At 38.8% G+C, this 24,459-nt stretch overlaps 1 protein-coding gene across 3 annotated transcripts in view; it reads left to right on the top strand.

The window, feature by feature from the left end:
* The window catches only part of RPAP3 (RNA polymerase II associated protein 3), a 44,782-nt gene extending 35,183 nt beyond the window's left edge, over positions 1–9,599 (top strand). For all 3 annotated transcript variants that reach the window (NM_001146076.2, NM_001146075.2, NM_024604.3), the window contains 5 exons: positions 503–741; positions 1,746–1,932; positions 2,997–3,094; positions 3,768–3,868; positions 7,258–9,599. In NM_001146076.2, coding sequence (NP_001139548.1) covers positions 503–741; positions 1,746–1,932; positions 2,997–3,094; positions 3,768–3,868; positions 7,258–7,343 — 711 coding nt within the window. In that variant the 3' untranslated portion in view covers positions 7,344–9,599. The remainder of the gene's footprint in view (positions 1–502; positions 742–1,745; positions 1,933–2,996; positions 3,095–3,767; positions 3,869–7,257) is intronic.
* The last annotated feature ends 14,860 nt before the right edge of the window (positions 9,600–24,459 follow it).

The following is a 24,459-nucleotide window of genomic DNA, read 5'->3' as shown; positions in this document are numbered from 1 at the left end:
GCCCCTAGAATAGAGTCCAGACTCCTTTCATGGCATCCAAGTCCCTTCATAAGCTGTCTTCAAACTGCCTTTGAGGCTTCATCTCCACCATGCCGTGCCGTGCACCAGCCCCACTGGACTTCTCACCTTTCCACTGACTGTGCTGCACCCTTCAACTTTGCCATTCCTGTGTGCTTTTTCTGTGAAGGCTTCCCTCATGCCAGTGTTTATCTTCCTTCCTGTGTTCTCTTAGCGTTTTGTGCTTTCATCTCTTAAACATGACCATGGCCTTATATATTTACGTATACATGTCTCTCTCCCTTGTTTCGACCTACCTGGGATAAGTGCTTTGTATAGCTTTTTATTTTTGTATTCTCAGACTTCTAAGTCTGTCTAGCCACCAAATTGAATTTACTAATCACTGGGATATTAGCTGTAAGATCATTGCAGCCTTTTAACTTGTGACCCTAAAATAGGAAACCTTTAATATTTTGATTTAAGGAATTGATTTTAATTGTTTTAGAAACCACTCAAGAAGGTTATTATTGAAGAAACTGGTAATTTGATACAGACTATTGATGTGCCAGATAGCACTACTGCTGCTGCTCCAGAGAATAATCCTATTAATCTAGCAAATGTAATAGCAGCCACAGGCACCACAAGTAAGAAGAATTCAAGCCAAGATGACCTTTTTCCCACAAGTGATACTCCAAGAGCAAAAGTATTGAAAATAGAAGAAGTCAGTGATACTTCATCCCTGCAGTGAGTAGAAATACTGTTATTTGCTGATCATCCAGAATGGGTTAATTCCAATGGAGAATTGATATTACTGAGACTTCTGATTTGTACTCATCATGCTAATTTTTTGAACTGCCTAACTTAAGTTTCTAGCTTTTCTTTTTTGTTTGTACTTATTGTAAGGGTGATTTTGCTTAAAGAATGATTACTATTTTTTTTTTAACCACAGTGTGAAATTTAAAGATAAGAAGGTATCTTGAAAATTGATTTTGTTTAAAAATTTTCATTTCTAGGATTTCAGTTTTATTATTTAGTTCAGCAAAATTTTAGTTTTTTAAAAGGAAGCTTCATAAAAATGTAGAATTTATGGATTGCCATTATTTCATCCATTAGTATTTAAGACTGTTGTGGACTCTAACTTTTGTTTGGCATTTAAAAAATAGTTTATGTGTTTTTTCTTGATAATGAGAATATAGAAGATATAGACTAATTAGGTTCATTTTGAGGTATGGAAACCTTACTCATATATTTTTACATTGCCACTCAACAAACCTGCTAAAAGTTGTTTTTTTCTTTTAAACTTTGAACTTTAGTAGTACTTTTATTTAAAGTGATAGTATAGATCATGGGACAATACTATATAGGCAGTTTTTTTTGGAAGAAGCATTTCTTCCTTTTTGGAATATCTTGAAAATGATCATTTAGATCTTTGAAAGGCTAAATCATTAGTGTATGTGACATGGTAATTGAAATATATAGAAATGGTATACTCAAAAGGTGGATAGGTTAGCTGCCCAGCAGAGGAGAATAGTCATTACATAGCCAGCATGTGAAAATTTGCAAGAGCATAATCTGTTTTGCCAAAAAATGTTTATATATTATTAGCTGAAATAATTGAATGCTTGTATAATACAAATAGATAATACAATATTAATAGTCAAAAATTTAAAAATTTTTATTGATGTCTCCTTGATTGAGCTATGATTATTTATGGTTCTTTTCTGTTTGATACCTCTGAAATATTTCAGACCTCAAGCCAGTTTGAAGCAGGATGTATGTCAGTCTTACAGCGAGAAAATGCCCATAGAGATAGAACAAAAACCTGCTCAGTTTGCCACAACTGTTCTTCCTCCAATTCCTGCAAACTCGTTCCAGCTCGAATCTGATTTCAGACAATTGAAAAGTTCTCCAGATATGTTGTATCAGTATTTAAAGGTAAGAGAGAGGAAGGTAGTACTTCTGTTGTAAGTAAAAGGTCAGAGAACTTCTGTCACTTTATAATAATGGTGCCGTATTTGCTTTTTATAGGATATTATTGTAGAAATTATTGTAGAATACATCACCCTGGTCAGACCATTTAAAAATATTTACAACCAGGGAACCTTGATGTTCTCCTTTGGCAATAGATTCTATGTCAAATTCTATTGTCTCAAATAACGTAATCTAATTTCATATATATTAGCTTAAGCTTAATCCTTCAAAAAAAACCCTAAAATACATTGAGTGTCTTCTGTGTGCCAAGCAGTGCTTGCAATATGTAGGCAATCATTCTTCTAATATTTGCTTTAAGAAAAAGAATCAAATCCCATGAAATTTAGCAAATAATGAATTAGCATGGTCCTTTTCAAGTGTAATGAGAGTAACATTTCCTAATAATTATGCAATATAAAATTACTTCCAAATACGTTTTCTCATGTAATTCTACTTTTAAAAATCTCTAGTTATATTTATTGCTCTTTGAGAGCCTTTAAAGTTTCCTGTCTCTCTTAGGATGGTGTATATCTCTTCTGCTCATAAGATTTTTCTGTGACTAGAATAGAGTGATTATCATGCAGTTCCTGTAACTTTCATTCTTCTATCATAATTGCATTTTAATGTGACTCCATTATTATTCATAAGTGCTAATGCATAGTAGTTATTCTTTTCTTTTTGTTTTGGACGGAGTTTTGCTCTTGTTGCCCAGGCTGGAGTGCAATGACGCAATCTCAGCTCACCGCAACCTCTGCCTCCCAGGTTCAAGCAATTCTCCTGCCTCAGTCTCCGAGTAGCTGGGATTACAGGGATGTGCCACCATGCCCGGCTAATTTTTTGTATTTTTAGTGGAGATGGGGTTTCTCCATGTTGGTCAGACTGGTCTCGAACTCCCAACCTCAGGTGATCCTCCCACCTTGGCCTCCCAAAGTAGTTATTCTTTACTATTTTTACCCAAGCAATTGTTGTGTAATTTGTGATATGTAAGTGTTGCCATCAAGTAATTGTCTTTTTATTTTTTTTTCAAGCAAATTGAACCATCTTTGTATCCTAAGTTGTTTCAGAAAAATCTGGATCCAGATGTATTCAACCAGATCGTTAAAATTCTGCATGACTTTTACATTGAGTAAGTCAAGTTTTTTTTAGTTATACAGTAAGTCCTCACTTAATGTTATTGATAGGTTTTTGGAAACTGCAATTTTAATTAAAATGATTAAGACATAGGAACATAAGTCTTGTTTATGTCAATTGGCCTATGGTAAAATTGGTTTGTTTATACAGTATGCCGTTTTACATAAAGTCACAGTTTTCCTGAACCTATTGATGATGTTAAGTGAGAATTTACTGTACTCTTATGATGCTATGCTATTTCCAATGATTTGGGAAGTTGATTCTCTTTGAATGTATATAGCAAATTAGCAGCATATAGCAAAGTTAGCTTTCTTGTAAGTTTCATTGTTAGAGAAGTTGCAAGGAAATGACAAGTACAGACAATAAAAAGGGAAAAGTTTAAAAGGGAGGAAAAAGGACTCTAATTTTTTTGTAGAGAAAAGTAGGGTATGGAAATGACCAGTGTTTTCACAGAATAATAGTTTCCGTACTAAGCTCTCATTTAAGAATATTGTAATTTCTTCAGTTGACTTGATAAATCTCTTCATTTGGGCATTTAAAATACAGGTATCCAGGGGAAAAAATGATGTCATTTATGTATAATTAGAAGTATTGTGTTAGTAAACAGAATTATTAATAAATGAGCTGCTTTTAACTGATCATTTGTTTCTATATTTGGATTATTTCAGGAAAGAAAAGCCATTACTCATCTTTGAAATCTTACAAAGACTTTCTGAACTAAAAAGGTTTGATATGGCAGTGATGTTTATGTCAGAAACAGAGAAAAAGAGTAAGTTCTATGAAAGTTTTCCCATGTTTATTTTTGTACATTCCTGTATTCATTCAACAAATAATAGCTGACATTTATTGACTACTTATTGTGTATAAGGTTATATTTAATTAAATATTTATATTTAAATTGGATGATATTAAATTATATTTAAGTTAATTAAATTGGATAACAAGAACAGTTAAAATTGTTTTGTTAGTCCTGACAATATTATGAAGTGTAGGTACTGTTTTCACTCTCCTTTTACAGAGGAGGAAACAGGTATAGAGAGGCTAAGAAACTTGCTAAGGTCACATAGCTAGGAAGCCAGACCTAGGATTCGAACCCAGGCAGTCCAACTCCATAGTCTGAGCTCTTCTACTTGAAAACGCAGTAAATGGTATAATGGTGGAGTTCCTACTGTTACTATGTAAAGGATCAAAGCCACAGGACCATGTAACTGGGCGAGGTACAGGAAAGGTCTGATCCATTCTGAGAGAGGTAATTTCCTTGAGTTTGATTTTAGCTGAATTCTCAAAGAAGTGCAAGAGTCAGAGGAAAGGCTGGGCAAGAGAGTTTTAGACTGAAAGAATGATACATGTAGTGGTTCTGAGGCAGGAAAGAGCAAATTGAGTCCAGAGAATTTAAAATGGTATGGCTGGATTGTAGAATAGGGAGTAATGAGTGGCAGGTGATGAACCTGAAGAATTGTATTTCTTTTTTATTTCCACATCACAATTTTTGGCATAAAGAGTCCGTTTTGAGAAATCCTAATTAAAGTAAAATTGCACTATGCAGAAACTTCAGTTGCTCAGAGTTTTGGGCTATACTCATTTCAGGAAAAAAGAGAAAAGTCATTCACATACCAGTGTGTCTTTTTTTTTCTTTTTAATAATTAGCAAAACTCAGTGTACCATTTTCAGATACCTCCTGTACTAAACATACATGGGCTTCTTTTATTTCTTCTTTATCTTTTTAGCAGTGATGTTGAATGATTTTAAATCAATAAGAAAGATACTTTTGAAATTACACTTAGGGAAGTGGACATGTAATTTAGATATATATATTTTTTAGGCCAGGCATGGTGGCTCATGCCTGTAATCCCAGCACTTTGGGAGGTTAAGGCAGGAGGATCGCTTGAGACCAGGCTGGCCAACATGGCAAAAACCCCGTCTTTACAAAAAATACAAAAATGAGTTGGTTGCAGTGGCGTGCATCTGTAGTCCCAGCTACTAGGGGGGCTGAGGTGGGAGAATCGTTTCAGCACGGAAGGTTGAGGCTGCAGTGAGCCATGATTGTGGCACTGCGTTCCAACCTAGGCAACAGAGTGAGACTCTGTCTCAAATAAATAGTTAAATAAAAATAAAAAAATATATATTAAAATATATATATGTATATTTTAATAGCGAGGGTTTAAACCAAAAGTTTTGGTTTTAGCTTTAGTTAACCAGAAATGTTCCTTGAAATCCCTGAAAAATGTTACTGTTTCTTATTACTGTTTTGACCTCATCTTTTACCACTATTTTTTCAACCACTCTGCCCCATTATAGTGGTTTTATATAGCTTTTAATATACCAAACTGTCAGGCGGGTGCAGTGGCTCACGCCTGTAATTGCAGCACTTTGGGAGGCCGAGGCAGGTGGATCACCTGAAGTCAAGAGCTCAAGACCAGGCTGGCCAACATGATGCAACCCTGTCTCTACTAAAAATACAAAAAAAAAAAAAGAAAGAAAAAAATTAGCTGGGCGTGGTGGCAGACACCTGTAATCCCAGCTACTTGGGAGGCTCAGGCAGGAGAATCAATCGCTTGAATCCAGGAGGCATAGGTTGCAGTGAGCCGAGATTGCACCATTGCACTCCAGCCTGGGCAACAAGAGTGAAACTCTGTCTCAAAAAAAAAAAAAAAAAATTACCAAACTGCCAAACTTATTTTGGCCTCGAGGACTTTGGCTGTTCTCTCAACGTAGAATATCTTCCTACATATCTTCACTTGTGTGCTTCTTCATTTGGTTTTCACCTATCACCACTTCAAAGATGTCTTTCTTCACTGACCCCCCATGAACCTCTCTCTTCTTACCCTGCTTTATTTCTCTTCGTAATATATTACTAGCTGACAGTGGTTCATGTGTATGTTTATTATATCTCCCTCTCTAATAGAATGAAAGCTCCATGACAGCAGGAACTTTGTCTACCTCGTTCACTGGGCCTCAGTGCTAGCGCATAATAACCCCTCAGTGTCAGTGTGTTGAATGAATGAATTTACTGTTACTCTAATGTGATAAGTTCAAGGTATCCGAGAATGCAGGTGGGCTCTTCAGACTGGCTGACCAATAGTACTGTCTTGATGGGGTTTCCACTGTCTGCTAAGTTAAACATGGAAAGCGCTTAGAATGGTTCTGGCATGCAACCAGGTATTCAGTAAATACTTAGCTGTTGTTATATTTTATTATTGCCATTATCATTAATAACTGTTAGCTAGTTCTCCAGTTTTAATGTTGAGAAGCATGAACTATAAACAGTGTTTTCCTAATGTTGAGTGTCGACCGATCAGTGGTAGTAAATATGATTTTTTTGCGATTCATAATCTTATTTATTTATTTATTTATTTTTTGAGATGGAGTCTCGCTCTGTCGCCCAGGCTGGAGTGCAGTGGCTCGATCTCAGCTCACTGCAAGCTCCGCCTCCTGGGTTCACGCCATTCTCCTGCCTCAGCCTCCTGAGTAGCTGGGACTACAGGCGCCCGCCATCACTCGCGGCTAATTTTTTTGTATTTTTAGTAGAGACGGGGTTTCACCGTGTTAGCCAGGATGGTCTCGATCTCCTGACCTCATGATCCGCCTGCCTCGGCCTCCCAAAGTGCTGGGATTACAGGCGTGAACCACCACGCCTGGCCCATGATCTTATTTTTAACATGTAGTAGTTTTAATTTTGTAATATAAAAATATTTAACTGTCCCATCAAGTGTGATTTCATCAGTGTCATTGCTGTTTTTCATTTACAGTAGTGATGTAAAGTTTTCTTTTAAAATAAAATGATTTAGGTTTGAAAAACAGTTTAGTTGAAATAAAAATATTAAGTAAATAAAAATACACTTGTTACACAGATAGGGTAAACATTTTTAAGGTAGTACAGAATGAATTAAGTTTAATCTGCAAGATTAATATCATTGAGAATGCAGGGCAAATTTTATACTGCTAAAGCAAAATATTCCTGAAAGAACCATTGTTGGATTGCTATATAATTTTGTGTTCTCAGATTGGCTTTTTAAATATCTGAATTAGAATTTATAAACCTATGTATTGCTTTAAAATGTAAAATGTTTTTGACAAATAGATTGCTCCTTTTAATTTACATTTTGCTTGGTTTTTAAAAAATGAGATTAAAATGGAGAATTTCTTTTTCTTTTTCAGTTGCACGTGCATTATTTAATCACATAGACAAGTCAGGATTGAAGGATAGTTCTGTCGAAGAACTCAAGAAAAGATACGGTGGTTGATTTCCATTTTTGCTGAAATAATTGTTTTTGACTTTCATATGTAAATTTTTTCTACTGAAAGTGTTTTGCTTTTTAAGAAAATGAAATTATATAGCAGGAAAGGACTATCTTTGAACATAAGTTAATTAACTATAAGGTGAATTGTGATTTAACTAGTGAGAATTGTATTCAAGTGAACTCTGTTTTTCTGAAAATAAAAATATAAACAATGAGATACATTTGTAAGGATCAGCATTTTATTTTATGAGTCATTTTAAATGTTAAATTTAGATACATTCTTCAGTGACCCATAAATGTAACATTATTTTTATATTTTCATGAGTTTTTGTAACCACTTGCCAAAGCTGCTTCATTAGCATATGAATAATTACCTTTGTAAAGAGGAAGTTAAATAGATAGTGAGATCCTTTCTTTATAAAACTTTTAAATGTTATTGTGCCAATTCACTAACATGAAGTTATTTAGTTGCAGGGTATGTATGTATTTTTAGTATTTATGTTGAAAGAAAGAAGACTTTTAACTAGACTTTCAAACTAGGTTAATTGAAGTATCACAGTATTCTTACATTTTAATGCCATAGGGTTTTTTCCCTTAAGATATCCATGTTACATACCAGTTAAGGACAGATAATCTAATGCAAGGTGTAAAAATGTAAAAATTAGTAATGTTTAAAGTACTAATTAGCATATAGCCCATATGTATTTGTTGGATGTGAGTGTAGCGTTTGTAAACTTTTGAAAGTAGGGCTAGAACTCTGCTCATCCCTGTACTCTGCATAGTACCTAGCACAGACGTTTGCACATAGTTAGGTGCTCAACTGATACTTATAAAATTTAATTGAATTTGACGCAAGAATCATATTAAGTAAATGTTTAAAGTAGCAGCCTAGCAAATTTTTGGGCATGGTGTAAGCACTGGTAAAACCAGTTAATTTTAGAGACTATCAAGTTGTTAAAAAATATTAGGACACCATCCTTTAATTGTTATCAGCATCAATAAGACAGTTCAGTTTACAATTTTATACGATATTGTGGTTAATTTTTATTGCCATTATACATATTACTATTCTTATGAATTGTTTGAGAAGTAATCATAATTTATTTACAAAGATAATTTCTTCAGATTGTGGTATAAATTATTGAGATATGTTTGTAATTTGGATAGTTTGAATGCTTTAAAATACACTTGATAGAGTTTATTAACTTTGTTTATTGCTAAATGTATTATGATATATAAACAGGCAATTGAATTTAGCTTTTTATCTGCTATGATCTGAATGTTTATATCCCCCACAAATTCATATGTTGAAATCCTAACCCTGAAGGCGATGGTCTTCGGAGGTGGGGCCTTTGGGAAGTGATTGGGTCAAGAGGGCAGGCCCTTGTAAAAGAGGCCCCAGAGAGCTTGTTCACCAATTACACCATGTAAGGACACATAAGAAGGCACCATCTACGAACAAGAAGGTGGGCCTTCACCAGACACCAGAGACCAGAATCTACTGGCATCTTCATCTTGGACTCCCCATCCTCCAGAACTGTAAGAAATAAATTTCTGTTTTTATTAATGTAAGCTACCCAGTTTGATATTTTATTATAGCAACCCGAATGGACTACGGTATGATCCTTTGAAGAAACTTACAAGGTAGTCAGGGCAGGTAATGTTATTGTCATTCTTAACATAAGAAAAGGAGGCTCAGAGGGTTAATGTTCTCTGCATGATTATAGAGCTAAAAATTGGCCAAAACAGTTCAGAACGTGCTGTCTTCTCTTAATGTAGAGCTATTTGAACTACTTCCAGCTGCAGTTTTTATGTTGTGTTACCTGTGTAGAGACTGTTAACTGAAGAAGTACAGATCACAAGATTTACTATAGAATTTGAATTTTAAAAAATTTCTGATGTTAGCCTGATTTCTCCCCAGAGACATTTTCATGTAGTGATTTAAGACCAGAGGCTCTGGATTCAGACTTCTTGAGTTTGAATTCTGGCTCCATCTGGCTTTAGGGCCTTGGACAAGTTACTTTTCTATTCTTTGTTTTTGAAATCTGTAGAATGGGTATAAGTGAGATTGAATGAATGCACACATTTTGTTTTTGGAGCAGGGCTGGATGTATAGTAAGCTACTGTTACTATTATTATTACAATTACCAACATTTCCTAAAAGTGATTAGAATAAAGAACAGTCTTTAGGGGCTGTCATATTGTTGCCTTATTGCAAAATAGCATAGTGGTTAATAAAGTCATTTTTGGGTCAAATAACCTGCGTATACAACCTATTGCACTCAACTAGCTTGTGAATTTGGACATACTGCTTAGCACCTCTAAGCTTCCGTTTCCTCTCATATAAAATAGAATATTAGTAAATGCCTACCTCAAAGATTTTTAGAAAGGCTAATACTTATAAGTATTAGCACATTAATGCCTGTCACATAGTGCTCAGTCATTTTTATTAATAATAGTAATATTATTGCCTTAAAGGTATAAAAGCAGTATTTTCCCAAGTGGTTTCTTTCTGGAAATGTAGTTATTTACTGTTAATTGTATCTTTTGACTTGATAGCAACATTTACATCATAATTATTCTTGAATTGTTGGCAGAAGCACCATGCCCGTCATTTATTGGCTGCCTCCGACTCTGGTTTTAGTTACACTCAATTTAATAAATTGATGGGGCATATCCAAGTCCTCACCATTTTAACAATTTGTGCTAACGCATTTGAAAAAAATTTTACTTCCAACCTCTAAATCCATTATCTCTGTTAACAGGAGGCATTTCTGAACACAGTACCAAGGCTCATTTTACCTTTTTACAATGCTTTCTTAATGTTTGACCTTTATCAGAGTTATGTTTAAAGAAACATTAAAAATTTAATGTTAATGAAACTTGTTTGATTCATTCATTTAATTAATTTAACAAATATTTGTTGAATCTACATATAATGCCAGGCACTGCTAGGCACTGAAAATACAAAAATGAACAAAGTAAACATGGATTCTTTCCTCACAAAACTTACAACGAAGTGGGAGGTGGAATGGGATGGTGGGGATACAAATAAAGAGGTACAGCGTAATAAATGCTAAACAGGTAATACTAAGGGATCATGGGAAATACCAGGAATAGCAGATGCAAAAGACAAGACAAGTTTGAGAAAACTTAAGTTTAATTTTTAGCACAGAGTGGGAACTGGATTGTGGTAAGAAATGAGGCTGGTGAAGACAGAAGGGTTGAGATTCTAGAGGACATTTGAACTTCATCCTGAGGGTACTGTGGAACTAGTGATAGTTTATATAGGAGGGTGATTCTGAAATTTGTATTTTATAAAATTTACTTTGGCTACTATGGGAAGAACAGTTGCCTGGGGACATTAGAGACAGGGGAACTTGTCAGAGGACTTGGGGTACCTAAGGCAAGAGATTATGGTATCCTGAACAAGAGTACTAGCCGTGAGGATGGAGAGAAGTGACCAGAATGGAGAAATATTTGGGAAGTAGAATGGGCAAGATTTGGCAGTAGATTCAGGGCCCCCACATTCAGGGCTTAACTCCAAGGAGCACCCTTTACATTGTGGTCTGCGTGAATGGCATCCCTGGAACATAATGTGAATGCTTCCTAACTTGTACAATTTGGTGATCCTGTGTGGGCTGGGAAGCAAGTTGAGAAGCAGAAGGAAGCATTAATGGTCATGCCCAGATTTTTTTCCCCTAGGGCAGTGCTTTCATTCACTAAAATATAAACCACAGCGGGTGACACCATATGTGGAACTGGAAGGTTTGGTTGAGTGGCTGAGAGAAAGGTCCAATTTGGGATCTGTTGGATTTGTGATCCCTTTGGTCATTGAAATAGATTAGGGATGGTGATTTGGGTTTGGACATTAAAAAGCATTTAGGTGAAGTCTCAGGATTAGATGAGATTACTTGGAAGTATAGAATCAGGAGAAAAGGGTGACTGGGTAAGTGGAACAGAACTAACAACCACATTTAACAGATTGGAAAAGGAGCACATAAAGCAGACTAGGGAGAGTGGGCACAGAGAGGGTGACGTTGGCAAAAAGCACGTGATGGAATTAAGTTTTTTGTTATTGATAATTTAAAAGCTTTGTCTTCATAGCTAATTATTGGTTCTGTCATGTAAGTTTTTAGGATTGTTGCCAAGTTTGAGAAAATCTCTACCGTGTTTCTTTTGTATTTGAGCCATATGATTCTGGGGTTTATATGAGTATATATTTCTGGTAAGGCAGAACTCCCATTTTGACCAGGCATCCATGAAGCATCCTGTTACAATACATGTCTGAAGACTGAGAAGTATCTCCACAGATTAGCTTTGGGATCCATACATTACAAATCTTGTCCACCACTGCACATGCACTTCTGGGGCTGGTTACTGTCTAATGCATTTATATCATGGTTCAACTTCTGGCCTAAAACTGGAAAAGTTGATGGCATGGACAGTAGTAGGAGTATCGCTAAAATCTTCCTATACTGAGATGGCGAGCAGTAATTCAACCTGGTACAAAAATGACTGCAGACCATGTAAATATATTCTGTAACACTCAGCTACTTCATAGTCTAGATCTCAAAACACTAGGTGCAGGGAAGTTAGAGTAGAAAGGGACAGCAGTCTAGATTGATTGTGGTTAAAATATATTAGTTTTGAAATTTAGTTTGAAAATGTAGTTTGCAAAAACATAGTCATGTAAACACTTCCCTATAGCCCCTCTCAGGGTGGAAGTGGCCTGTACAAGTGAGAGTTCCTGGGGCTTAAGCCTTTGTTAACTTCAGGGTAAATCAGCTGTTTTCTCAGTCCATAACCCTGAGGCCTATGAGTATTTAGCAAGCATCTCTTCTTTTGCAACACCAGAGGTTTTGGATGCACAGTCTATACATCTCAACTATCAAATTTGTGAACAACTGAAGGCTTATGCCTTTTTAGGGCTTGATCTGTCTGGTATCGATTTTTCATTTTAGGTATGAATTACAAGAGCTAGCACTGAAGAGGTTATTTTAGAGTGTGGGCCTTGAGCCCATGCCCTTCTATCTTTTCTATTATCTTGTATCCTGATGTCCTCTATTTTCTGAGGCTCCTCCCCTGACTACAAGCAAGTCTGGATTTCCCTGCTTAGAGGAATGGTCCTTTGACCCTGTCCATGTCCTCTCTCTCTTCTGGCTATCCCCAGTAGTTCTGTGATGGTAAAATTAGTCATTTTCCCCTTAGTTCTTACTGTCCTTGACCCCCTGTAGCATTTGACCTGGTTGGCTATCTTGGCCTTGGTGACATTTCACCCTGTTGGTTCCTTGCCTCCTCCTCATAGCTCTGTCTCTGTTTCCTTTTCATCTTTGTGTGTCTAGTCTAGTCCTTGGCCCTCTCCTCTCCCCTGACAGCTTGACTACTCAGAACCTCTACTAACAACTCCCACATTTGTTTCTTAATTGCTGTCCTTTTTCCCAAGTGCTAGTCTTTTTCCCTGGTTCTGTACTAACTGTTATTCCTTGGTGTGCTATTACTGACCAGAACCCAACATTGTAAATAGCAGCTCATTGCCCTTGCAATCCAGCAGCCCCATTCTAGCCGTCTCTCCTGACTGCCCCTCTTTTAATGTGGCCATTGTTGGTTCAGACAGAAATTTCAACCTTAGCAATATTTTTGACCGCTACTTCTTTTTGCCTGCATCCAGTCACTAACTCATGAAGTCCAGTGGGCTTTCCCCTTGCAGTGTCTGCCATGTGTCACCTCATGTCCTGAAGATGGCAGTAACCCCTACTGAGTCTCTCTGGCTGTATTCCTGTATAATCCACCTGTGTGCCTCTGCCAGCTAAATCTTCCTTTAGCATTGCTCTTATTATGTCACCTGTGCACACAGCCTGCAGGACACCTCACTGCTCATGAGACTTCTTGTGATGGCCATCTTCTGAGTTAAATGTTGGGACAACTTGTTTGACCAAGGGCTTTCTGATTTGTGGATTTAATTCTTAATTCAGCAACACATATTATGTGCCAGCTGCTATGCTAAGCCACAGCCTCTACCCTGAAGTATCTCAGTCTATTAGGGGAATTGGACAAGAAACATGAACTATAATAAAGGGTGGCAAATATAATGATAGAAGTCTAAGAGGCAGGACTCAAAGCTCAACTGGTAGGATTGAGAAAGGCATCTCTGCAGAGGAGCCATCTAGTCTCAGGCATGAAGGATTAGAAAGAATAATCCAGGCAGATGCAGGGAAAGCATGGTTTAGGTAGAACAGCTTGGAACAGAGGAGTATGAAAACAGGAAACATTTAGGGATTTGCAGGCAGTGGAGGTACTTGGGGCTTGGCTGTGGGGAGATGGTGAAGAAGTAGGAGCCAGATTATGAAAGGCCTTTGCTGTGACAAAAAGGCCAATTTTCTGAAAGTGATCAAGAATCACTCAAGGATTTCATTTTAGAGATAAGGAAACTGAGGCATATATAGGTTATATAGTTTGCCCATAGACATCTGATTAACAGGTGGTGGAGCAGTAAGACTACTGTACCAAGTAGTCTGATTTCAGAAGCCACATGCCCAACCACCATTCTATGTTATTCTTTTGGATGTATAAAGAAGACAGGATGGATTTTTATTTCTTGTTTTTGAGACAGAGTCTTCCTGTCACCCAGCCTGGAGTACAATGGTGCGATCTTGCTCACTGCAGCCTCAGCCTGTTGGGTTCAAGCGATTCTCCAGCCTCTGCCTTCCAAGTAGCTGGGATTACAGGGATGCGCCACCACACCCAGCTGATTTTTATATTTTTAGTAGAAACGGGGTTTCACAATGTTGGCCAGGCTGGTCTCGAACTCCTGACCTCAAGTGATCCACCCCGTCTTGGCCTCCCAAAGTGCTGGGATTATAGGCATGCCCAGCCGTCAAGATGGATTTTAAAAATATATGTAGGTGGGAAAATCCACAGGACTTCTGGGCATTCATTCATTCAAACACTTCTTAAGTGTCTATAATGTACCCAGTAGGGGATTAAGCATCAGAAAACAGACATAACTTCTGTCCTTCAGTAACACACAGGGTAGCTGGGGAGTCAAATAAATCTGCAATTACAGCACAGTGTCATGAGTGCCCTAATAAAGGTTTGGAAAGAGCACAAAGGGCAGCTCTGAATCAGACTGGGTGGGACAGGGAAGGAAGAGGCAGCATTTGCTATGAGACTTGAGAAGGATGGTCCAGGTGCACAGGGGGAAGGAGATGTCCAGGTGGCAGGATCAGCATAGGTGAAGGCCATGTATTAATAGCATAGTCATGAGCACCTTGACTTGACCTTGGGGTGTAGGCAGTTCTGTATACTGTGGAAGGTGACATGGGGGATAGAGTTTGAGTTGACTGGTACATTTTCCCTTCGTTTTTTATTTGTTAATTTTTCATGTGTGCACATAACTAGATTTTAAGCTCCTGGAGGGTCGTGACATCATCTTAGATGTCATTAGTGCTAACATTGGCCTTCTCTATGGCAGATGCTCAGCTGTTTATTGAGTGATCAGTCTAGATTATTATGACATTAGGCTAGAATTAGTGAGTTTCTCCTCTTACTGTGGTTATTTAATGTAGGACTGTCAAATCTAATTCATGAGAGAATTATACTCTTCACGACTTTTTCATTGTAATCACTTAAAGAGAAGAAAAATGAAGCCACACATGATATAGGCTATCCCAATCAGTTTAATTCTACTTTGTCAAATAATAATTTGGGGCAACAAAAAGACTTAGTTGAAAAGTTTTTAACATGATTGTTTTGTTGAGCTTATGTAAGTTTAAAACTTATTTCCCATCAAACATGAGGATGAATAGCTTCACTTCAATTTAGTCTTAATGGCAGCCTGTCTAGCGATAAGGCTTTTAAGATTTGTGACATCTTTAAATTTTATATAGCAGTAATTTTAACCTAGTAGCAGCAAGGAGACAAAATTCCTTACATTCCATCTCTGAAAATGACCACTCCTAAAGTAGGAACACCTCAGGGATCTGGGAGCCTCCATTAGCTGATGCTTACAATTAGAGTTTGAATTAAGCAAAAAAGGCCTCTTGGTAATTTTATTTAATAAACGCTGTTCACCTACTATATTTTTTTGCTATGGTCTTAATGTCTGTGTCTCCCTAAACATTAGTTGAAAACTAATCCCAAGTGTGATGGTAGTAGGAGGTGGGACCTTTGGGAGATGATTAAGTCATGAGGTCAGAGCGCTCATGAATGGAATTAGTGACCTTATTTAAAAAAAAAAGAAGCCCCAGAGAGCTACCTTGTCCCTTCTCCCATGGGAGGTTATAGCAAGAAGATTATTAACCCTCACTAGACATCAAATCTGCCATGATGTTTGACTTCCCATTCTCTAGAATGGTGAGAAATAAATTTTTGTTATTTATAAGCTACCCAGTTTATGGTAATTTGTTACTGTAGCCCAAATAGACTAAAACAAATTTAGAATATCCATTTATATTTTATAATAGACAAAACACCAAACAACAATAACAGACCCAAGGTTTATGTGTGTATGAAGCCCTGCTCTGGTGTCCTGCTGAATGCAGCTCTGGAGGAGGCTGTGGTTAACACTGCAGGGGCTTCCAGAGGGCTTGGCCTTGGGTTCACCTGGAATCTGCAATCCTGGATGCCTATCCCAGGATCCAGGTATGTGGGTAGTGTACCTAAGTAGAAGACCCTCCTTCAGTGTGTTTGACTTCTGTGATCACAAGCAGCCAGTCAAATGGGAGGTAGGAGACATTTCCCTTGTGGCTTATGGAATCAGTACTGTGCTTTTGCAGTACTGGTGCTGGGCTGATAACTGCAAAGAAGTAAGACTGTGAGTGATGAAAGGCTCAATCAGGGGTTTGATGATTCTGGAGGTGGTGGTCTGGGGAACAGACAGGGAAGGTGGCATGGAAGAGGTGGGGTCTGAGGAGGCCTAGAAGGATGGGTCAGATCTGGTTTAGGTGGAGGAGGGTTGATGGCTTCTCTTAACAGGATCCATCTTAACTTCTGAGAGATACAGATGGATAGCAGAATAGTAGGATGGGAATTGCTGTGGCACCTTTCTTGAATGGCACATCAAAGCCCAGACCTGTTCACTCAGGAGAGATCTTGGGATGGAGAACAGTGGTAGAATTGTTATTTGGTTTGTCTCTTAAAGATTCTTAAATTTTATGTGACACTTCAGCATTTAAACTTCATGCTGTCGAAATACCAACGTGAGAGGTCAGAGGAAAAGAAGATAAAGAGTGCAGGCACTCAGGCAGTTGACATGGGTAAAACTAAATATTTGGGCCTCACTAGAATCTTTCTATTGGTTTACTATCTCTTCAGAGAATAGTGTAAATGAGGAAGATATGCCTGAGTCCTGGGGTCTATTTTAACCTACCACTTATAGCTTGCTTTATTGACATTTCAGATCACCCAAGCCAGTGAACACATTCATGATGATCCTGAAGCTGATCGTGGGGGAAAATGTTTTATAAAACTAGGGGCATCCTTTGGGTGGATGAAACCGATGAAATCAGGATGAAACAAGCAGATTAATAAGGGTTGAGCATAGGCCATAAGAAATATTAAAAAACATATAAAACTGTCATCAATGATAAAATATTCTCCGCTACTAACAAGTTACTGAAATATATCAAACGTTCTTCTGATCCTTGGCTGGTTCTCTTTGAGGAATGAGTCGCTGCAGTTAGTTTCTGCCACCTCGGGATGGAGACCAGTGGGCTCCGGGCAGAGCACTGAGGAGGCACTTGCTAAATGTTCACTGAATGAAAAGCGAGTAAAGCTGGAGACTGTTGTGGCCATGCATTGTCCATGAACACCAGGCAAAAGTTATAAATTAATTTGATTGTAAATTAATTTGATATTATAAAAGGAAAACTAAAACCATTCTGTAACCAGAGTAGTGGAAATACACGAAAATAGATGACTCCGTCATACCATCGATCCTGTACTAGAACAGAATTTGCAATACCATTTAGAATACTTCTGGAACTCTGTCCCAGTAAGAGCAATAGAAGATGAGCTTTTATCACAACAAAGTGCTCTGAGCTGTATAGTTTTCTTGACTTGTTTTTTTTTTTTTTTTTTTTTTTTTTGAGACAGAGTCTTGCTCTATTGCCAGGCCTGGAGTGCAGTGGCACAATCTCAGCTCACTGCAACCTCTGCCTCCTGGGTTCAAGCAATTTTCCTGTCTCAGCCTCCTGAGTAGCTGGGATTACAGGTGTGCACCACCACGCCCAACTATTTTTTGTATTTTTAGTAGAGACGGGGTTTTACCATGTTGGCCAGGCTGGTCTCGAACTTCTGACCTCAGGTGATCTGCCTGCCTCAGCCTCCCAAAGTGCTGGGATTTCAGGGGTGAGCCACCATGCCTGACCCTTCTTGACATTTTCAGTTTATCTTATTTGACCCTTGCAACTGTGTTCAGTGAGATATTTAGAGCAGCTGTTACTTGGATAGGAAAACAAAGAGCTGAAAAGGTTAAATTACATGCCCAAAGTTATGTCAATAATGACATAACTCAGACTCTGTGCTGTTTCCAGTAACCTCTATCAGGTCCCCTCTTATGGAATCCAGTAATGATGTGGACTTTACTGAGTAAACCCCTAGCACTGCAAACCATTGAGTGTGGATTCAGTGGTGCTACAGACTGAATGTTGTGTCCTACCCAAAATCCATATGTTGAAATCCTAATCCCCACTGTGATGGTATGTGGAGACGGGGCCTTTGGGAGGTAACTGGGCCATGAGGGTGGAGCCCTCATGCTGGGATTACTACCCTTATTAAAAAGGAACAGGAAAGAGCTGCTTCTTCCCCCACCCCACCCCCGTTCTCTCTGGCTCTTTTTCTGTCTGTCTCTGTCCTCTGCCACGTGAGGATACAGTGAGACAACAGCCATCTGCAAACCAGGAAGAGGGCCCTCACCAAACACCAGGTCTGCTGGCTTCTTGATCATGGACTTATCAGTGTCCAGAACTGTGAGAAATAAATGTTTCTTGTTTAAGCCACCCAGTGTATGGTATTCTTAAAATAGCCTCCTGAACTAAGAGACATGAAAACTAGAATTGGTCTGCCTATCAGTGGGATTATAAATGTGCAGTGTATTTTAAAGAGTTGATCTCCAAAGTACAGTACTTAGCACGTAATATGAAGTTAATAAATGTTTGCTAGATAAAGGAACGAATGCAGGCAGTATAGAATGAGAATGAAGTATCCAGATGAAGCCTTAAGTTTGGCTGAAAGCACTTGTCTGAACATTTAAAGACCTTTTCATCATCAATGAGGATTATTTTAATTCCCTTTTATAGGATTGTGTTCAGAGTGTTCCTCCCCAAAATGTTTTTTGAATACCAAATGAATGTAAAAAGGAATAGGGTTATAATGTTCTGTTTCTCATGTGGAACTCCCTTGTTCATGGCAGTTCAAATAGACTAATATTAGCTAATATTTATATACATCCTACTGTGTGGCAGGCACTTTACCAAGGGTTTTGCATATATTATCTCAATCCTAGAAACATGCAGAATAGGTTTTCCTGTGAAGCTGGGGGTCAAGCAGAAGCTAGTCTGACTTAGACGCTCATATTCTTCCTCGTACACTGCAGTGGTTGCTGAGCCACTGTCAGGATAACACAAGAGCACAGCGGCTGGAGAAGGCAGGCTGGCAGCTGGCATTTCTTCGGTATTACTACCACCTACTGGATGTTCAGAAAATAACAGTATGCATGTGGCAGAAAGCATTCTGATAGGAATAAAAATGAAAGTGAATTTTAATTTCTTAAGATTTTCGGCCAGGCGCGGTGGCTCACGCCTGTAATCCTAGCAGTTTGGGAGGCCAAGGCGGGCAGATTGCCTGAGCTCAGGAGTTCGAGACCAATCTGGGCAACATGGCAAAACCCCATCACTACTAAAATACAGAAAATTAGCTGGGCATGGTGGTGCATGCCTGTATTCCCAGCAACTCCGAAGGCTGAGGCACGAAAATCACTTGAGCCTGGGAGGCAGAGGTTGCAGTGAGCTGAGATTGCACCACTGCACTCCAGCCTGAGCAATAGAGTGAGACCCTGTCTCAAACAAAAAAAGATTTTGACTGCTTAGTATCTGTAAAAGTCTCCTTCTAGTGCATATAGCAAAAATGAAGATGTAATCTTTGATCATGTTGTTCAGTATTGAAACCTGGGAGGAGGATATAGTGAAAGGAGGGAGTACGGCAGACAGTTTGTTACGGCAAGTTCATTCAGCCAGCATACAGGTCCTGGTGGCCTTCTCTGTGCCAGTCACTGTGGTGGTTGGCTTGAGTAGTTGGCAGACAGGAAGGGATGTCAGTGCTTATTTGGGCCCTGTTATGAGACATTGGATTTACTCTGTCCTGTAGCCTGACAGTCCTGGGCCACGGTCACGTAGGGAAGCTGTGGAATCATGGTGGAGTGTCCAGACAGGGAGCATACCTCAAAGTCAGTGCCTAACTATGGCTAGGTCAGAACTCCCATCTTCCTACATCAAGGACAGCCCCCTTCCTAATGTGTCACAAGGTCTTTCTAGGGACTTGTGGGGGAGTGTGTGGGCAGCATTTTTCCTCCCCTCAGTACTTCAGTGCATGAGACCTAGATTTAAGCTAAATATTGACTAAATTTTGAAGAGGAGGTGTCACAAAAATGCATTTAGAAAGGAATGTGCAGAAAGGGCTGTTCTTCCTTGAGAGAGGGGGGTGTGTGTGTGCATGGACATGGTGGGCAATGCTGTTTGTGTGTAATATTCAGGTCGGCTTTACTGGCCTACAGAGATACCTGCTTTTCTTCTACTTCCCCTTCTCAGTTTCTAACATCAGTGAGTCATTTTGATGTTTACTTTATGAGGCCTCTTTAAGTGGTAAAATACAGTGATTTTGTTTAGTCTCACTTGGATAATTGAATATGCATTTCTGTAACATCAGAGAAAAACTATATTTAACTATTAAGTCAACACAGACCCTGAATTATGATGAAGTAGCACACTTGCAATGGCAAAAAGCCAAGTTGACACCAAGAAGTGTCATAGTTTTGTGGTCATTGATTTGATTTCTCAAAGATTATGCCATGTTCAGTTATGTCTTTTCTACACTTTGTACCAAGCCTTTTGTGAGTGCTAAACATCTTTGAATTATCTGTGATGAGGTATTGCTCACTGGGCAGGTATTAGTTTATGAGGATGGTGAAAAGACCAAAGGAAAGGACTCACTCACAATTCTGTCCAACAATAAATAGAGTTGACTGAGATGGCAGTGTTTTTTTCCAGCTGAAGTTGCTACCTGGCTGGGTGTGGTGGCTCACGTCTGTAAGCCTAGCACTTTGGGAGGCTGAGGCAGGTGGATCACTTGAGGTCAGAAGTTCGAGACCAGCCTGGCCAACATAGTGAAACCCCATCTCAACTAAATATACAAAAATTAGCTGGGTGTGGTGACACGCACCTGTAGTTTCATCTACTCGGGAGGCTGAGGAAGGAGAATCTCTTGAACCTGGGAGGTAGAGGTTGCAGTGAGCTGAGATCACACCACTGCAGCCTGGCCAACATAGTGAAACCCCGTCTCAATGAAATACACAAAAATTAGCTGGGTGTGGTGACACGCACCTGTAGTTTCAGCTACTCGGGAGGCTGAGGAAGGAGAATCTCTTGAGCCTGGGAGGTGGAGGTTGCAGTGAGCTGAGATCACACCACTGCACTCTTAACCTGGGTGGCAGAGCGAGACTCTGTCTCAAAATGAAAAATGAAATTAAATTAAATAAAATAAAAAAATAAAAGTAAAATGTAAAATAAAATAATAAAATAAAGTTGCTATCAACCTTATTTTAACCCTAACATCCTACAATTCAAGACCTGGGGCAGTATTATCCATAGAGTCTGGCAGTAGTGGAAGCTCTGCATGGTTACAGACTTTATCATAATGTCCTCACCTCTGGCCCTGAACTAGCCAGCAACCTCAAAGTGCCAGAGGGTTCCTGCCAAATACGTTTCCCTCCTGGCTTGTCAGAATGCCTGAAAATCCTGTCCTAGACTTCTTAGAGACACAAACATTTTAAACTTAGCCCAGGTATTACTATAATTTGAAAATAGTAACATATGAGCTAATTTGTCCATTAACAAAGACGATTTTATTTTATCAGTCCCATGCTTTGGAGAGGAGGATCCTGAAGGAAACTAAAAGCAGGCCTCGGGAGGCAAAAGCCAAGATAGGGTTTAGGTTAAGTCAGAAGTGAAAAAGGATGATTTAACCGGGGACATGAAGCATAAAGAAAGTAGGTATAGATAGTCTTTTTACCTCCCACAGGCTCAGAGTTTTGCCTTAGTTGGGGCTGGAGAGGCTGAGATCCCAGGCTGATAAATTTGACATAGAGGTTTTCCTGAGTAGACTCAGTACTAGGTAATCATAACTTATGGCTCTGGTTATTGTTACCTCAGTGATAGATTGAGCTTAATGGAGGGTAGGGTTCAGTAGGATGTTGCAAGGCAGCTACCATGTGCCTTTAACTCCCACCGCAAACCAAATAGCAAAGCCATCTGAAGCCCGCAATTTGCTGGAAGGGCAGAAGCAAAAATAAAGAACCAGATTCAAATGAACTTCTGTAACTACCATCAGGATATCCTCAAGGGCTCTAGCTTTAGAGGGTCATCTGTCCCATTGATGCTGGAAAACATAACCTGAGCCTCTTTCTTGTGTCACTAGAAGATATCAGTCTTTGTTGGGTCCCAGCAACACCTACCTAGGGAGTGTTTACACACACACACAAATCCAGCCATACTGTTCCCTGTCAGCTCTCCTGTGGGCAGCTGCCCAGGCTTCCCTGCTGTGGTTGTAGCCTCGTTTCTAGGCTTCCTCTCCACCCCAGGCCTGCTTAACACCAGGCATGGATGCAGTCCCTTCCGTTAGCCTTCCAAACACAGCTGATACTAGAAGGCACAGTTTAACAATACTTTACCATATACTTGAAGATACCACTGGGGCCTTATGGGACACAAATGAACTTTAAAACCAGGCACCCCTGCTCCTGGAGTCCAGTGGCTGTACTTCTTTGCAAAAGTGCCCCTCCTTAAGCCCAGAATTCTCCACCAGTTGGCCTAAGCCAGATAAAGTGAAAACCAGTTCTCATCCTCTAACAGTCTCTGCAGAGCTTCACTACGCACTTGGTGAAGACTGGGTCAGCATCTGAGTCTGAAGCCTGTGCATGTGGATTACTCCCTGCTTTCAGGACTTCCCTGACCTGAAAGAGTGAGTAAGCATTTACCTTAGATCTGCTTAACCAAAACAAACTGTGTTTCCTAGAACAATGGGAGGATCTTCCCAATGGAAAAAGAAAATCCAGGAAACACAGGAATAAAAAGAATGCTTCTGATTCCCCAAATGTTGGCTTTAATTTTGTTTTCTCATGTCTGTTGCAGTGGGTACCTGGAATTCGATTTTGTCCTTTTTTACTCACCTTACCACTTTTTCCATCCGAGAATGCTTGATTTGGATAATCAGAGTAAGTCAGTCAAAATGTTCAAATTGGGTATAAAGTCTCTCAGGTGAATATCAGCCCTTACAATCTGAAATGTTATCAAGTCAAGCTACACTGCATGTTTGCCATCTCACTTTTCATTACACTTGATTTGTCCTTGTATTTGACAAAGAAGCAGAACAAAGTTTTCACCAACCAACCACATGACAGCATTAACCACCAGAGGATTTTGAACCTAAGCCTGGTGGAAATTCAGAAGCAAGGAAAATCGTGTAAGGCAATGAGGCTCCTTAGAGAAACTTCAAAGATCTTGTTAATAGGTCAGCTCAACTAACTGTAAATGACCTGAATTCAGGACTAAGATTTCCATAAATATAGTGATCAATGTTGATTTTAATTACATTACCTTTAACACTTGTTAGAAGGAAAGCAAAGAATCTCATTTTCATGTATAATTACTTTTCATAGATCTGATATGCTTTTTACTTAGCTTGGAGCAATGGGTCATTTTTTAAAGGACTACATTATTAGCTTTGATCTAATTTGCCTGGGCTGAGTTTAAAATGTTTGTGTTTCTGAGAAGTCTAAGACAGGATTTTCAGGCATGAGATGGCTCTGTGCTTTCCATTTTGGTACTTGGATGTGAAATTTTTTACCTCTTATTCCCAAGAAGCTGTCATGTATAATAGGGTGGTGCATTGTGAATTTCATGATGTATTCATTGGTCCACTACATTAAAACATAAAAACTGAATCTGAATTGTAGGAGTGGGGTCATATTATAAATTCATAAAAATTAAATTATTTTTATCAATCAAATAATGAATATTTAATATAATACTGGGCATTGGTGGTAAAACAGAAATTTTAAAAGCCATCATTGCTTAAAACCTGTAAGTGGGGTCATAAGGCTAATAAAAAGGAAACAAGACAAATATGTGTTAAATGAATTAAGAATTAGGATAAAGGAGAGATTACTGTGGTCTTAACATCAGCAAGAAGACTTCTTAGTGGGAGGTGATACTTAAAAAGTTTGGGGGGACTCCTAGGAAAAGATGGTGGATTAACCACATTTTTTCTTCTTACCTTTCCTCAGATTCTAGTAAAATAATAGTAAAGAATTACAAATGAATAAATCATAAACAGCAAAAAGAAGGGGAACTGCATTAGGAAACAAAAACTATTAATACATTTTAGAAAGATGAAGGTGGAGGGAGTTACAGAAAGGATTTGCATGAGGGAGCATGAGGAAAGTATTATGGGCTAAATTATGTTCTCCTCAAATTCATATGCTGAAGTCCCACCCCCCAGTACCTCAGAATGTGACTACATTTGGAGATAGGATCTTTAAAGAGGTAATCAAGTTAAAGTGAGGTCATTAGGGTAGGCCCTAATACGATATGATTGCTGTCCTTATATGAAGGCGATTAGGACACAGGCACATAGGGAGGGAAGACCATGTGAAGACACAGGGAGAAGACAGCCATCTGCAAGCCAAGGAGAGAGGCCTTTAGAAGAAACCAATGCTACTGGCACCTTGATCTTGGACTTCTAACCTCCAGAATTGTGAGAAAATAAATTTTTATTATTTAATCCATCCAGTCTGTGGTACTTTGTTATGGTAGCCCTAGCAACCGAGTACAGATGGTACTTACAT

The sequence above is a fragment of the Homo sapiens genome, chromosome 12, assembly GCF_000001405.40.
Source record: "Homo sapiens chromosome 12, GRCh38.p14 Primary Assembly".
In the NCBI taxonomy this organism is placed as follows: domain Eukaryota; kingdom Metazoa; phylum Chordata; class Mammalia; order Primates; family Hominidae; genus Homo; species Homo sapiens.
The sequence above is the reverse complement of the archived record's forward strand: the minus strand, read 5'-3'. Positions and strand labels throughout refer to the sequence as shown.